The 13,504-nt window shown below is 40.0% G+C and overlaps 1 protein-coding gene across 3 annotated transcripts in view; it reads left to right on the top strand.

Annotated features, from left to right (window-relative positions):
* SLC18B1 (solute carrier family 18 member B1) overlaps positions 1–13,504 on the top strand; it is a 29,268-nt gene that overhangs the window by 2,389 nt on the left and 13,375 nt on the right. For 2 of the 3 annotated variants that reach the window (NM_052831.3, XM_047418166.1), the window contains exons 3-6: positions 5,977–6,072; positions 6,412–6,485; positions 8,668–8,815; positions 12,160–12,316. In NM_052831.3, the coding sequence (NP_439896.1) occupies positions 5,977–6,072; positions 6,412–6,485; positions 8,668–8,815; positions 12,160–12,316 (475 nt within the window). Of the gene's footprint in view, positions 1–5,383; positions 5,465–5,976; positions 6,073–6,411; positions 6,486–8,667; positions 8,816–12,159; positions 12,317–13,504 lie in introns of all 3 variants that reach the window. The other variant, XM_047418165.1, reaches the window with a different exon arrangement.

Here is a 13,504-nt window from a genome sequence, read left to right as displayed (position 1 = left end):
CAAGTAGCTGGGACTACAGGTACCCGCCACTACGCCCAGCTAATTTTTTTTTTTGTATTGTTTTAGTAGAGACGGGGTTTCACCGTGTTAGCCAGGATGGTCTCCATCTCCTGACCTCATGATCTGCCCGCCTCCGCCTCCCGAAGTGCTGGGATTACAGGCGTGAGTCACCGTGCCCGGCCGAATTTTTGTATTTTTAGTAGAGACAGGTTTTTGCCATGTTGGGCAGTCTGGCTTCGATCTCCTGACCTCAGGTGATCTGCTTACCTTGGCCTCCCAAAGTGCTGGGATAACAGGCGTGAGCCACCACGCCCAGCCCCGGCCCCGCTCCATATTCCCTCTTTTGACTTTAATTTCTTATGGACTCTAGCGCCAATGTTTATGCAAGGGAGGAATTCTGATTAATAGGGCCTATTCCTTCTAGGCATAGCCTTTTATATGGTGTTAAGATTTATAGCTAATGACACAGATTCAAAGATAATAATCCCTAGAAAGTCCAACTGGATTCTAGACGTCAATAGGATATAGTATGAAATGAATATGACTGGCTTGGAGTGTAGACAACATATCCATGTGTTTTATTTTGTGCTTTTTGCCAAATCCTTGGCTCACAGTGCAGTGGAAGCTTGTTAGTCCTCCAACTGCCTTTTAAACATGTAGTCCTTCGTTCTGTGTGTTACAAAAGAAGATAAAGTGGCTTCTCTGCTAAAGGAACAATATTGCCATGTACCCATACAGTGCTCTCTGGCTTCTAGTACACATTACCCCTTATTTATCCATTTAATCCCCGCAACAACCTCATACAGAATCTTGAGAATCTCAGCATGTTGCAAATGAAGAAACGGTCTCAGAAGTTGTGACTTGCCCAATTCAGTTCTATTAACTAGAGGTTTAATGAGTCCCTTCTCTAGAGCAGGCTAAGCATGGGATGTGTTAGGGTAGTATAAAAAAATCAGGGAAATGGCTTTCTCTTGTCTGCCCTTTGGGAGTGAAAAAATATGGGAAAAAAAAGGTTCCAATAATTTGGATATCCCTTAAGAAAAGGATGTCCAGAATGTTATAAGACTGTTTTTTTTTTTCTTTTTTTAAATCATTTTCTTCTGGCTTCCCTCTATCCATACTAATGTTATGAGAGCCTAGAAAGAAGAATGGTTAATTCTGCCATACATGGAGTGTGGATAGCAGAAGAAAGGGCGTTACTGAAAGGAACTTTCAGGCTAAATCTAAGTTGGGGCTTTTTTTTTGAGACAGGGTTTCACTCTGTCATCGAGGCTGAAAGTACAGTGGCATGATCAGAGTTCACTGCTGCCTCAACTTCCCAGGCTCAAGAGATCCTTTCGCCTCAGCCCCCTGAGGAGCTGGGGCACAGGCATGTGCCACCACGCCTAGCTATTTTTTTCTATTTTTAGTAGAGATGGGGTTTCACCATGTTGCCCAGGCTGATGTTGAGCTCCTGAGCTCAAGCAATCCGTCCACCATGTTGGCCAGGCCTCTCAAATGCTGGGATTACAGGTGTGAGCCACCGCACCTGGCCTAAGGTGGGCCCTAAGAAGTGTTAATTCTTATGGTGAACAACAGAGATGGAGGTGTTCTAGGTATAGTCACAGGAAGAGCAGAGTGAATGGCATGTTCCTGGGGAACAACAGACAGCTTCTTGATGTGGCTTGAGCCTGGGGTGAAGTGAGGTCTAATAGGAGACAGTGGATCTGAGGAGGCAGGCCTAAGATAGAAAGGAAGGGCACTTGTCAAGGACTTAGTCAGTGGGCAGTCATCAGAGGTGTTTGAGCAAGAAAGAGCAGTCTGGCCAGACTTGGGATTTTTAAATAATAATAATAACAATAATAATGCCAGGCATGGTGGCTCACGCCTGTAATCCCAGCACTTTGGGAGGCTGAGGTGGGAGGATCACCTGAGGTCAGGAGTTTGAGACCAGCCTGGCCAACATGGTGAAACCCTGTCTGTACTAAAAATACAAAAATTAGCCAGGCATGGTGGCACGTGACTGTAGTCCCAGCTACTCAGGAGGCTGAGACAGGAGAATTGCTTGAACCCAGGAGGTGGAGGTTGCAGTGAGCCGAGATCGCCCCACTGCACTCTAGCCTGGGCAACAGAGTGAGACTCCATCTCAAAAAAAAAAAAAATTAAAAAAAAAATAATAAGAGCCTGTGGAATTGAGATGGAGAAGAATTGGAGTGAGTGAATCAACCAGTGAGAAGGGCATTTCCTAGCTCAGCTGGAACTCAGTGAGTGCAACTAATGTTAGTTTCCTCTAAGTGAATAGGGACAAAGGAAAACCATGCTGTGGGTGTGTGCTTTTTAAGTTTTTGATTGAGTTTTGTGCTTATAGGAAATGATGACCAAAGAAAAAAGTCAAGCTTTTAAAGAATTAAAGTTCATTTTATTCAGAAGTCTTACCGAGGACTATAGGCTGAGTATTTCAGTTCACAGTTCATGTACAGGTAGTAGAGACTCAGTACATGCACGGTCACATCAAAGTTTGGGTGTAAGAGTACATCTGGTTATAGATTATGAATGTACCTTTGGTAATAGTTTATAAACGCATAATCACAACCCTGTTAGATGTTATCTTATGTGTAGGAAAAGGCAAAGCTGGGGCATTTATCATTTAAGGAATGTAATAGCTCAGGCAAGAGATGTGGGGGACCATGTGCTCTATCCTGCTCTGTCTTCAACTCATCCCTCCCAAGAGTTGCATGTTGTCACAGAGTCAGGGGTTTTATGACATTATGCTGGCAAGCAGAAGTGAGCAAAATGTGACTTCTTACATTTGCTACTTTTGTCTCGCCTCGCAGAGGGAAGGCTGAAAGAAAGGAGATAGAGGCAGGAGAGAGAACATTCTAACTTTAAAAGCTGTAAATATGAAGAGAAGGCTTTGATTTTTCATTTCTGATTAAAATCTTGTGGTCAACAAATGCATTGGTGAAGCCTCACCCTTCCTCCTGCATGTTCTGTCATTTTTCTTATTAGCTAAGCTAACTGGGCAAAGGAAAAACAGTGCCTTTCTTAAATTATGGTGTGGGATTCCTACTTCTATTCATCATTTTTCTTGCCACACTCATCTTTTGTCAGAGGACCAGAAATTGCTTATTTATTTATTTATTTATTGAGACAGAGCCTCGTTCCATCATGCCCAGGCTGGAGTGCTGCGGCATCGTCTCAGCTTACTGCAACCTCCGCCTCCTGAGTTCAAACAATTCTCCCGCCTCAGTCTCCCAAGTAGCTGGGATTACAGGCGCGCATCACCACACCCAGCTAATTTTTTTGTATTTTTAGTAGAGACGGGGTTTCACCATATTGGCCAGGCTGGTCTCGAACTCCTGACCTCAGGTGATCCACTCGCCTTGGCCTCCTAAATTGCTGGAATTACAGGAGTGAGCCACTGTGCCCGGCCTAGAAATTGCTTTTAATAGCTGTTTTTGCTTTCCTAATGTGAAGCAGGATCCATGTTCCAAAAATGACATTCGGCTGCTGCTGTAGCATGTGGTTCTAGCACATCCTGTGTCAGCATTCCATTTCCACAGCGAATATGGGAACATGCACATGATGGAAACTGTAGTGGCTCATGACCTGTAACCTTTGCAAGTTCCTGTCCTCATCTATAAATGAGGCCAGCTAAAAATGTATCCTTTATTTAATTTAATTGTTGTTAGATACCATGTAAAACGGCACTTAATAAAGAGATTCTGGCTCATAATGAGGGTCTAATAAGTATTAATTGCTATAGGCATTATATATTTTCTGCTAGATTCTAAATTAAATACTTATCAGAACTATTAAGCAAAGAACATTGATAATGCAACTTGACTAATGAATGTCCTTCCTTCCTTCCTTCTTTCCTTCTTTCTCTTTCTTTCCTTCTTTTCTTTCTTTCCCTTCCTTCCTTCCTTCCTTCCTTCCTTCCTTCCTTCCTTCCTTCCTTCCTTCCTTCCTTCCTTCCTTTCTTCCTTTCTTTCTTTCTTTCTTTCTTTCTTTCTTTCTTTCTTTCTTTCTTTCTTTCTTTCTGACAGTGTCTTGCTCTGTCACCCAGGCTGGAGTGCAGTAGCACAATCTTGGCTCACTGCAACCTCTGACTCCTGGGTTCAAGTGATTGTCCTGCCTCAGTCTCCTGAGTAGCTGGGATTACAGGCACGTGCCACCACACCTGGCTAATTTTTGTATTTTTAGTAGAGACGGGGTTTTGCCATGTTGGCCAGGCTGGTCTCAAACTCCTGACCTCAAGTGATCCTCCCACCTGAGCTTCCTAAAGTGCTGGGATTACAGGCGTGAGCCCCCATGCCCGGCACGCATATTTTTCTTATGCGTTAATTGACTCCTTTCACAATACTTTCTTTTTGAGGAACCTGACCCGTGTGTAGTAGAAATGTAGACCTCATGTTCCAGTTGACATACAGCATAACCATTTGTCACAGTGCCATTAAAGGTATTTTAATGAACTCTCTCTTGTATCCACACCATTATTTCCTGTGGTTATTAGTACATGGAAAGGGAATGGCTGGTTATGAAGCCCAAGAATTATGGGCTTAAATCGTGCCCAAGCCATTACCATGGAGCTGTGGGCCCATCCTCTCTGCCCTCACCCACCACCAAGTGCTTAGGGACATTTCTGAGGACTTTTCCTAGAGTAAGAGAGAGATCCTTCCTAAAATTTAGCTTAGAACAATAGAGTTCACTTCTCTGGCTTCCTGTGGTATGACGCTATGAGGAATGTATGGTTTATTTAAAGAAGCATAGTCTGACATGCAAAAAAAAAATCCTTGAAAAAGACAAAGATTGAATGATGATAGTATCTTTACATGGGAAGGGATGGAGAAAATTTTTATCATCAATTGTAGAGAGAAAAGATAAAGAAAGGCAATCATGGTTATAGAGAATGGATGTTGAAGAGTGCAAAAGTATGTGCGCATGTGTGCATTTCTGTATTATGAAGTTATTTGCGAAAATCCAAAGCTCTGCCAAAAGGATGGATCTAAACTGGACTCTTCTGACCATAAATATTCACTGCTGGTACAATGCCTCATATATATAAGACGGTCAATATATGACAGTTCGGGCTTTCCTTTTGTAGTATGCTAAGTTGCCAGTCCTATCTTAAAGAAATTAAACTCATATTTTGATTCCTTAAATTTCTATAGCTAGAACCTGATTTAAGGATTTGCAATAGTTCCGGGACTTGACAAAGTTTTTTAAACTTTCTATTTTTATATGTGAATGTAGTTGTGTATCACAGTAGCATTTGAAGTTCAAAAGAAGTAGATTTATGATAAATATTATCTGTAGCAAATTTTAGGAGCTCCCTGATAGAATAGGCTATAAACATTAGTAACTGTAATTGATGGATGATAAACTACCTTGGCTGTTTCAGGAGAACGTAGAATGTCAGGGGAGCATCTCTCACCTGTGTTGTTGATGACAGGATGGAAAACTGTCTTCTCCAAACTGTCAGGTAATTGGTATTACTGTCAGAAACAGAGACCTAGACTGATTGGGCCTTGGTCTGACCCATGTGCCCACTCATGGAACTTCCTATTCTTGAGTTTGAAGACTGGCCAGTGTTTTTTGTTTGTTTCCTATAAATGTGATACCCAAAAGGAAGTGTGTCTGAATCAGCTGTTTCCTCAGTCCTGTGACTATGCAATAGAGCCCAAATTTCCTTATCCAAGGCATTTTTTTTGTGTTTGTTTATACACTCTGATTCTGACTTTTGCCACATAAAGCTAACAATTCTTTATAGGTATGGTGAGTGAATTATTTTCATGTAAGAGACTATGGTTTACTATCTAAACTATTAATAGTTTCCCTTCCTTCCCCACCCCATTTATTTTAAAAGAATAATCTTTTTGAAACTGATATACAGATAAAGTTCACAAGAAGATGATGCCCTGATCTATTATTTCCATTTTTTCATATTGATCTAATTTTTCTTTGAAACTTTGTTTCCGTTTCTATTACTTAAAGGCTGAAAAGAAGGGAGCCAGCAATACAATTATCGGTATGATCTTTGGATGTTTTGCTTTGTTCGAGTTGCTGGCATCCTTGGTATTTGGAAACTATGTAAGTATAAAGTTCATATGCACATCTTAATTTTTAAAAATTATATGATGGATTATTTTCGTTTACTAGTCTAGAATTTGCATTGATACAGAAATAGCCATCGTTATAGTTTTATAAATTGTGCCAGTGTTGACAGTTCTCTCCTCAGAGTTGATTGATTTTTAACTCTTTCCATGTTTTTAAGCAATGAGTACTGTCACCATATTAAAGAATTATTATAATATATTAACTGTACATGTCTTCCCCTATCCTATATTTGCCAATACAGTGGATTTGTTTATATCAATATAGACTTTCGGAAGTCATAAATTTACCACTCTTCTTTGACATTTATTATAGCTTGTACATATTGGAGCAAAATTTATGTTTGTAGCAGGAATGTTTGTCTCAGGAGGAGTTACAATTCTCTTTGGGTAAGTCATTTTCTGATTATATTTGGGAGCTTGAACAGATTTTGTAATGTATCTTCTGTTTAAATTGTTAAATACTCTTTAAGTCAATGGTTCCATTTATTGTCTGTCAAATGCATAGCATGTGACTAATGGCAGGAGTTGAGTAAGTAGAGAACAGGGATAAATGGCATTGATTTTAAGGAAACAGGCCTCCGGGGGATCTCCGTGATGCTTGCTACTGAACCTACTCATTAGAATTCCTGTGATTGTGAGTGACAGAAACTTAACTCACTTTTCTGAGTCACGGAAACTTACTAGCTTCAGTAAAAAAGTGAATTTCTTTAATAAAGTGTCAACTCAAAAAATATCAGAATACAGATTTGAAACGATGTCACGAGAAATTTTTCTTCTTGTGATTTGAACAAGCCCTCCCCTTTAGGTGGCAAGGGGACCCCTAGCAGCTTCAGTAGAAAGTGCCAGTTTCCTAATAGTTCCTATTAGAGTCACAGAATGAAGCCCCGCTGGCCTGACCTTTGCTGATGGCTGTAGCCATGGGGAAAGAATGTTCTGCTTGGCCAGGCCAGGTCACATGCTCAGTTCAGAGCATGGAACAAAATGGTTTCCCCCATTGCTACTTCCAGAAAAAGGAAAAATGAGTGCCAGAGGCAAAACAGATGTGAAAGTTCCAAATAATGTGGAAGAGCTTATATAAGTACATGGGGGAACATAGAGGAATACCAGTATAGTAAGATTATAATGAAGTAAACTGAAGAAAACTGTTATATTAAATGAAATGGGGTTAAAATTTTTTTGGAAGGGTCGTTTATTTTCTTTCTTTATTCCTTTTTTTTTTTTTTTTGAAGGTTTCAGTCTGACTACGGGAGAGATCGAAACTGGGTGCTTTCTTCTTTATAGGTCTTGTCAGAGTGATTCTACATGTTTTTTTTTTTTTTTTTCTTTTTGAGATGGAGTCTCACTCTATTGCCCAGGCTGGTGTGCAGTGGTGTGATCTCGCCTCACTGCAACCTCCACCTCCCAGGTTCAAGCCACTCTCTTGCCTCAACCTTCCAAATAGCTGGCATTACAGGGGCTCACCACCATGCTTAGCTAATTTTTGCACTTTTTTAGTAGAGATGGGATTTCGCCATGTTGGCCAGGCTGGTCTCGAACTCCTGACCTCAGGGGATACACCCACCTCAGCCTTCCAAAGTGCTAGAATTACAGGCGTGAGCCACCACACTCGGCTGATTCTACATATTCTAAAAAGGTTTATTTAGTACTATCATCTGGGGGACCAGTTATATCAGCAGAAAAGGGCAACTAAGCTGTCATTATGACTCAAATTGTTATCAAAAAAAGAAAAAGGTTAATTTCCTCCTACTGAAAAGACAACAAAGCAACTCTTTTAAAAAAAATCATATTCTAAAGCAATTTATTATAAAAATTATGGGTGAGGTACTATTCTTTTTAGTGAGTACAGTTAAAAAGGAAAAAAAAGAAAACAAGCTTGGCATTTGAGAATTGTCTTATTCCTTTTTAGTGTATTGGACCAAGTTACAGATGGGCCAGTATTTATTGCTATGTGTTTTCTTTTTCTTTTTTTTTTTTTCTTTTTCTTTTTTTTGAGACAGAGTCTCACTCTGTCGCCCAGGCTGGAGTGCAGTGGCACGATCTCGGCTCACTGCAAACTGCGCCGCCCAGGTTCATGCCATTCTCCTGCCTCAGCCTCCCGAGTAGCTGGAACTACAGGTGGCCACCACCACACCTGGCTAATTTTTTGTATTTTTAGTAGAGACGGGGTTTCACCGTGTTGGCCAGGATGGTCTCGATCTCCTGACTTCGTGATTTGCCTGCCTCAGCCTCCCAAAGTGCTGGGATTACAGGCGTGAGCCACTGCGCCCAGCTGATTCTACATATTCCAAAAAAGTTTATTTAGTGCTATTATCTGGGGGACCAGTTATATCAGCAGAAAAGGGCGACTAAGCTGTCATTATGACTCAAATGGTTACCAAAAAAAGAAAAAGGGTAATTTCCTCCTCCTGAAAAGACAACAAAGCAACTCTTTTAAAAAAATCATATTCTAAAGCGGTTTATTCTAAAAACCATGAGTGAGGTACTATTCTTTTTAGTGAGTACAGTTAAAAAGGAAAAAAAAAAAAAGAAAACCAGCTTGGCATTTCAGAATTGTCTTATTCCTTTTTAGTGTATTGGACCGAGTTCCAGATGGGCCAGTATTTATTGCTATGTGTTTTCTAGTGAGAGTAATGGATGCAGTTAGCTTTGCTGCAGCAATGACTGCATCTTCTTCTATCCTGGCAAAGGCTTTTCCAAATAACGTGGCTACGGTATTGGTATGTATTTTAGAAGTATTTCCCACTTTCCTTTGAGTGTAGGCCAAAATATTTGCCCTTCCAAGTTAAAGCTGGGGTCCATTCTTCTATACTTGCATTTCTCTACTCTCTGTATTATTGTTGCCTTTCACCCCGAGTTTGACTAGCAGCAAGCCTGTCAATAAATGTAACATTGGTTTCACTTAGGTGCTCTTCCTGGTTTTAGAATTCCCTGAATGGGCAGTTTGACAGGTAAATGTGGTCCAAATCAGTCGTTCTTTTTACCACTTAAAAAAAAAATTTTCCTTTGTAGTTTTTTTGCTGTCTCCCCGTAGCCTAGATTGTGGCTGAGCTGCCTGAAGCATTCCTCTGCTTTAGAAAAGAGTTATCCCTAGTGGCAAAATAATCAATTCATACTAAAGGCCTTCTTCCACTTTCCCCAGATTTATGCACGGGATCTTAGAAATCATCTCAAAGTCCTTAAGTGTTTCTGTGCTGTCTGTCTGAGGAGTGCTTTTGCATTTTGACATAAAAATCCAGATCCTGGTGGCATGATATTGACATGCGTTTTTGTGTACTGCCTAGATGCGTATAGACCTGGTATTAGTGACATATCAGATTCTCATCCCATCTCTAGGCAGCTGCCTCTCTGATCCCCAAGAAGGCTTTCCCCTCGTAGCTCTCTCTCTCTCTCTGGGCCCACGCACTTCATATCATAGTCGGTATGGCGCCCTTATAGCATGTAATTGTTCTCTTAGACTTCAGAGTCTAATCAGCTTAGTACCGAGGACTCCCTCATTTACTCATGTAACAATGTAGTTTGAAAATTTTTACCATCAGATAAACCCTTTGTGGTGTAAATAGTCCTTCCCCCCAACCTTTTTTTTTTTTTTTTTTTTGGAGTGGGGGATGGAGTCTCGCTCCGTAGCCCAGGCTGGAGTGCAGTGGAGCGATCTCGGCTCACTGCAAGCTCCGCCTCCCGGGTTCACGCTATTCTCTTGCCTCAGCCTCCCGAGTAGCTGGGACTACAGGCGCCCGCCACCACACCCGGCTACATTTTTTTTTGTATTTTTAGTAGAGACGGGGTTTCGCCATGTTAGCCAGGATGGTCTCGATCTCCTGACCTCGTGATCCACCTGCCTCAGCCTCCCAAAGTGCTAGGATTACAGGCGTGAGCCACCGTGCCCGGCACGTTCTTCCCACTTTTTATTAAGCATTTATGTATATAGCTGGATAGGTTTATGGTAGGTTCTATTGCCATTTGGCCGGCATACCATTTACATTTCCAGAAAATTTATTTCTCAGAAAGGGCTCAGAAGAACACCCGTCTGTTGATATGCTCATTAAGATAAGGGTTTATGGTTAAGCAAGTTTGGAGAGGGCTGTCTGCTGTCCTCTAACTTAGAGATGCCCAGTTCACATTAATGTCTTTAGACCTTGAAAATCCTGGAGTAGGGATACTTTATTAAATGTTCCACAACTCACTTTAACTATGGAACCATTTTTTTTCTTTCTTTTCTTTTTTCTTTTTTTCTTTCTTTTTTTTTTTTTTTTTTTGTAGAGACAGGGTCTTGCTGAGTTGCCCAGGCTGGTCTTGAACACCTGGCCTCAAGCAATCCTCCCACTTTGGCCTTCCAAGGTGGCTGGGATTACAAATGTGAGCCACCACACCTGGCTGTAACTATTTTTTCAAACAAGACTTGTTGATCTCTTAAAGAGCTGGTATTCTGTGGAACACTCTGGAAAGTGCCACTTAATAAATTCCTATGATAATGGTAACAATCCATTGGATTTTCTGATCAGCAAGAGACACCAATGTTGCTGTACCAAGTTTCTGTATAAAATTGCAGCCAACAGCTAACACACTAATGTGATAATTGATCTGGATGGCTTATTGTGATTAAAGAATTTCAATGTTCTTTATGAAGTTTTGAAAGTTATTAATGGTATATTTTTGTGTACTCTATAAGGTCTAAGGATATAAGGCTGCAAGCCACAGATCTCTGTTTAAGGTCCCTAAAAACTAGATTGATTTAAAATGTTGCAATATCTATAGTGGTAAACCCTTTTTTTCCATAGCATTGTTTTGTTTAACTTTAAACAGAATAATTTTATATGGTACAAAATTCAAAAGTTACAGAAGGGAACATAGAATATAGTAAATATATTCTACATATAACAGTTGCTCAGCCTTTGTATACACATCAGTTGTGCAGGTGCCCAGCCCTCCATCCCCTTAGGGGAAGGCAACAGATATTGCAGGTTTCTTGCAGAGAAATTCCACATATATATATGTACACACTGACACACACACACACACACACACACACACACACTGAGAGAGAGAGAGAGCACGAGAACAAGAGAGCATGATTTCCCTCCCCCTTTTTTCTTTTCCTTTTTTTTTTTTTTAACTGGACAGGACTATTGCAGTATCCCTCTTTTTTCTTTACACAAATGGTAGCAATACCATATGTACCATTCAGCACCTCACTGGTTACACCAACAATGAAATCATCTTGGAGATCTTCCTGTACCTACATATAAGGAGCTTTCTTACTCTTTACTGTTCTTACTGTCTGTATAGTATTTCACTGCGTGGATATAACCTGGTTTACTTACATCGTTGATGAATATTTAGATTATTTTCATCTTTTGCTATTGCAAAACTCTGCTATAGCACATAAGCTTGTATACATACCATGTCATATCTGCATGTCTAAACTTGTAAGTTAAATTCTTAGAAGTGGAATTCTGGGTCATAAGGTATGTGCCTCAATTTGCCAAATTGCCAAATTGCCAAATTGCCTACCGGTGTTCACTCACTAGCATAGAGTGTTCGATAGAGATAGGTGAAAATTGGTATCTTGTGGTTCAAATTTGCTCATTTCTTTTAAAAAGTGAGGGTGAACTTCTAAAAGATCTTTGTATTCCATCTATATGTCAATAATTTATAGCATTTGCCCATTTTTCTATGGGTTGTTTATCTTTTCCTCATTGTAGCTCTCATGATGTATTTGGGGAATTAGTTCTTTGTCATTTTTTTCTCTGTTCTTCATTTATCTTTTGATTTTTTTATGCATAGTTTTCGTATTTTCATGTAATCAGATTTGTCAATCTTTTTTATCTTCTGTGTTTTATGTCACAATTAGAATACCTTCCTTACAATAACAATTTTTTTAAAACTCCCATATTTTATTTTTCTAATATTTTTATGATTTCAATATGTGCATTTAAATTTTGGGGCCATCTTGGGAGTGTGTGTATGTAAATTATGAAGAAGATAGAAATTTTTTTAAAGATAGTACCATGTTAATTCTTCAAATGAAATATTTAAACTGATTTTTTCTTTTTCTCATTTTAAGGGAAGTCTTGAGACTTTTTCTGGACTGGGGCTAATACTAGGTCCTCCTGTAGGTGGCTTTTTGTATCAATCCTTTGGCTATGAAGTGCCTTTTATTGTTCTGGGATGCGTCGTTTTGCTGATGGTACCACTCAATATGTATATTTTACCCAATTACGGTAAGTCCACACTTATTACTCATTTTAAGAACCTTAAATATATTTTTATACCTTTGTAAGAGACCAGTTTTACCAGTTATTATTTTATATAATCAAAAATAGCTTTTAAAAATAACTGATTCTTTTTTCAGTAATGTAGGCAATTAGTTTATATGAATTTCTGTAAATTACAAATTCTTTCCAACCTTTAGAGCTAGCAAATATTTAATTTCTGATCATAAACCATTACCATACGCTATGTCTATGAGAGGTTTTCTTGGACTGAACTAAATATCAAAACCAGAAGTTTCTGTGGGCCACATATGGCCCAGTCTTCCTAGAAGGCTATAAGCTAGGAGAACAATGCCCATCCTTCTCTCCCAGTGGTCCTTGCAGCTGTCCTCACAGCGTAGCTCAGATACAAGGACGTAGATTCAGGTGTTCTCATTGAGTAGTGCTTTTAAAAAATTATAAACTGGGCCAGACACAGTGGCTCATGCCTGTAATCACAGAGCTTTGGGATGCTGAGGCTGGCGGATCACTTGAGGCCAGGAGTTCAAGACCAGCCTGCCAACATGGTGAAACCCTGTGTCTACTAAAAATATAAAAATTAGCTGGGCATGGTGGTGCACACCTGTAGTCCAAGCTACTCAGAAGGCTGAGGCATGAGAATTGCTTGAACCCAGGAGGTGGAGGTTGCAGTGAGCTGAGATCGCACCATTGCACTCCAGCCTGGGTGATAGAGCGAGACTCTTCCACCCCCTCAAAAAATTATAAACTGGTATTTAAAAAAAAATCTCTAGGATTGATAATATTAAGGCTGTAAATGTAGATTTAAGTATTCCCAATTAGTAGTATTTTTAAAAATTGTTATTATTTCGCTAGGCGCAGTGGCTAATCTCTGTAATCCCAGCACTTTGGGAGGCCGAGGCGGGCAGATCACCTGAGGTCAGGAGTTTGAGACCGGCCTGACCAACATGGTGAAACCCCATCTCTACTAAAAATACAAAAATTAGCCAGGCATGGTGGTATGTACCTATACTCCCAGCTACTCAGGAGGCTGAGACAGGAGAATTGTTTGAACCTAGGAGGCGGAGGTTGCAGTGAGCCAAGATCATGCCACTGCGCTCCAGCCTGGACAACAAAGTGAGACTCCATCTCAAAAAAAAAAAAAAATTGTTATTATTTTAGAAGAGTTTATAGCTAGAT

The sequence above is a fragment of the Homo sapiens genome, chromosome 6 (genome assembly GCF_000001405.40).
Source record: "Homo sapiens chromosome 6, GRCh38.p14 Primary Assembly".
NCBI lineage: Eukaryota > Metazoa > Chordata > Mammalia > Primates > Hominidae > Homo > Homo sapiens.
Note: the sequence above shows the minus strand (reverse complement) of the source record. Positions and strands in the feature narration are given on the sequence as shown.